A 2,731-nucleotide genomic window follows, 5' to 3' on the forward strand; every position below is an offset into this window, starting at 1 on the left:
ACTGTTTTAAAAAAATGAAAATTATTTGCAAATAATTTCCAAGTAATTACTTAAAGGATACATTAGCGCTAAATCAACCTATATATTTATATCAACTACCTTTCTCGGGATAGAAACGAAACAGATTCTGGTAACTTCAAAATGTTATGTTCCCACAATTTAAAGGAAAATATTTCCACCCATAAAAAAGTTTCAAACACTAAAGTGCCACAAGCCTACTGCCACTCACTTTGGCTATCCTGCAGTCCTGTGTTATTTTTATTCTATACTAAGCATCATTAATAAGCATTTACTTAATAGGACTTGCTTATTTTCACAATTTCTTCAGTAGTGTTACTATTCTGGGAAAATTTACATAGGTCTACAAAGTTGTGAAGAAACCGTATGCCAGGCAAAACAAAAATAATCCTTTATTTATGAACATAAGCTCTCGTCTTGGGAGCATTTAAGGGAAAACGAAATCATGAATCATAAATAAAACCAAGATGAAGAAGGAGACATCTGAATTGAAGAAAATGGAGATAACCAGAAAGAATTCTTACTATGTCGGGTGCCGGTGGCTCACGTCTGCAATCCCAGTGAGAGGTGACAGCATGCTGGCAGTCCTCACAGCCCTCACTCACTCTCGGCGCCTCCTCTGCCTGGGCTCCCACTTTGGCGGCACTTGAGGAGCCCTTCAGCCCACCGCTGCACTGTGGGAGCCCCTTTCTGGGCTGGCCAAGGCCGGAGCCCACTCCCTCAGCTTGCAGGGAGGTGTGGAGGGAGAGGCGCGAGCGGGAAACGGGGCTGCGCGCGGCGCTTGCGGGCCAGTTGGAGTTCCGGGTGGGCGTGGGCTTGGCGGGCCACGCACTTGGAACAGCTGGCCGCCTTGCCGGCCCGCCGGCCCTGGGCAATGAGGGGCTTAGCACCCGGGCCAACGGCTGCGGAGGGTGTACTGGGTCCCCCAGCAGTGCCAGCCCACCAGCGCTGCGCTTGATTTCTCGCCAGGCCTTAACTGCCTTCAGGAGCCTCCCCGACAAGCGCCGCCCCCAGCTCCACAGCGCCCAGTCCCATGGATCACCCAAGGGTTGAGGAGTGTGAGCACATGGCGCGGGACTGGCAGGCAACTCCACCTGCAGCACCGGTGCGGGATCCACTGGGTGAAGCCAGCTGGGCTCCTGAGTCTGGTGGGGCCTTGGAGAACCTTTATGTCTAACTCAGGGATTGTAAATACACCAATCGGCACTCTGTATCTAGCTCAAGGTTTGTAAACAGACCAATCAGCACCCTGTGTCTAGCTCAGGGTTTGTGAGCGCACCAGTGGACACTCTGTATCTAGCTGCTCTGGTGGGGCATCGGAGAACCTTTGTGTGGATACCCTGTATCTAACTAATCTGATGGGGAGGTGGAGAACCTTTGTATCTAGCTCAGGGATTGTAAACGCACCAATCAGCGCCCTGTCAAAACAGGCCACTGGGCTCTATCAATCAGCAGGATGTGGGTGGGGCCAGATAAGAGAATAAACGCAGGCTGCCGGAGCCAGCAGTGGCAACCCACTCGGGTCCCCTTCCACACTGTGGAAGCTTTGTTCTTTCGCTCTTTGCAATAAATCTTGCTACTGCTCACTCTTTGGGTCCACACTGCTTTTATGAGCTGTAACACTCACTGCAAAAATCTGCAGCTTCGCTCCTGAAGCCAGCCATACCACGAGCCCACCGGGAGGAACGAACAACTCCAGACGTGCTCCCTTAAGAGCTGTAACACTCACCGCGAAGGTCTGCAGCTTGACTCCTGAGCCAGGGAGACCAGGAACCCACCAGAAGGAAGAAACTCTGAACACATCCGAACATCAGAAGGAACAAACTCCAGACGCGCCACCTTAAGAGCTGTAACACTCACCGCGAGGGTCCGCGGCTTCATTCTTGAAGTCAGTGAGACCAAGAACCCACCAATTCCGGACACACCAGCACTTTGGGAGGCTGGGGTGAGTGGATCACTTGAGGCCAGGAGTTCAAGAACAGCCCGGCCAACATGGCGAAAACCCGTCTCTACTAAAAATATAAAAATTAACTGGTCGCCTGTAGTCCCAGCTACTTTTGGGGCTGAGACAGGAGAATCATTTGATCCTGGGAGGTGGAGGTTAGAGTGAGCTGAAGTCTCGTCACTGCACTCCAGGCTGGGCGACATAGCGAGACTGTCTCAAAACAAAACAAAAAAATAACAAAAAACAAACAAACAAAATTCTTACTAGTACATTCAAAATGATTCCAGAGTATACATTATCCTCTAAATACAAACACAAAAACCAAACTTTTTTTAAGTTTATCTAATTTTTTAGTTCTTTGCTTTTTTGATATATTTTATATGTAAGTATGTATTTATCTGTTGTATAGATTTTCATTCCCTCTGCCTGCTTTTCTTAGACTGTTTCTGTCTTCCTTGAAGATATGGAAGAAATATTCATAGATTAAATGTACTGACACATAAGCCTTCTCATATGTGATTACTATATTTGTTGACCTGTTCCCGCACCCCCGCATTGTTTAAATGATAAACTTCTAAGTCCTCTTCTTCCTCAAATGGCTATGAGGTTTGCTATTTTGTGTGTGTGTGTGAATTTTGCATTATTTTTGCTTACTTCAAAACTGTAACTTTCAGAATATACATAATGTGATTGTATCTTTTGGTCTATAACTGGATTTTAAATTTATATTTCAACCTACAACAGTGCCACAATATTTTCATTACTGTA

At 46.9% G+C, this 2,731-nt stretch overlaps 1 annotated feature.

Moving 5' to 3' along the window:
- Positions 366-870: an enhancer, noted in NCBI's record as "H3K27ac-H3K4me1 hESC enhancer chr1:194827800-194828304 (GRCh37/hg19 assembly coordinates)". NCBI's record gives its function as "activates a minimal SCP1, AML or CMV promoter by ChIP-STARR-seq in naive H9 embryonic stem cells {active_cell/tissue: H9 hESC(naive)}" and the evidence as "EXISTENCE:reporter gene assay evidence [ECO:0000049][PMID:30033119]".

Source organism: Homo sapiens, chromosome 1 (genome assembly GCF_000001405.40).
Source record: "Homo sapiens chromosome 1, GRCh38.p14 Primary Assembly".
Classification (NCBI taxonomy): domain Eukaryota; kingdom Metazoa; phylum Chordata; class Mammalia; order Primates; family Hominidae; genus Homo; species Homo sapiens.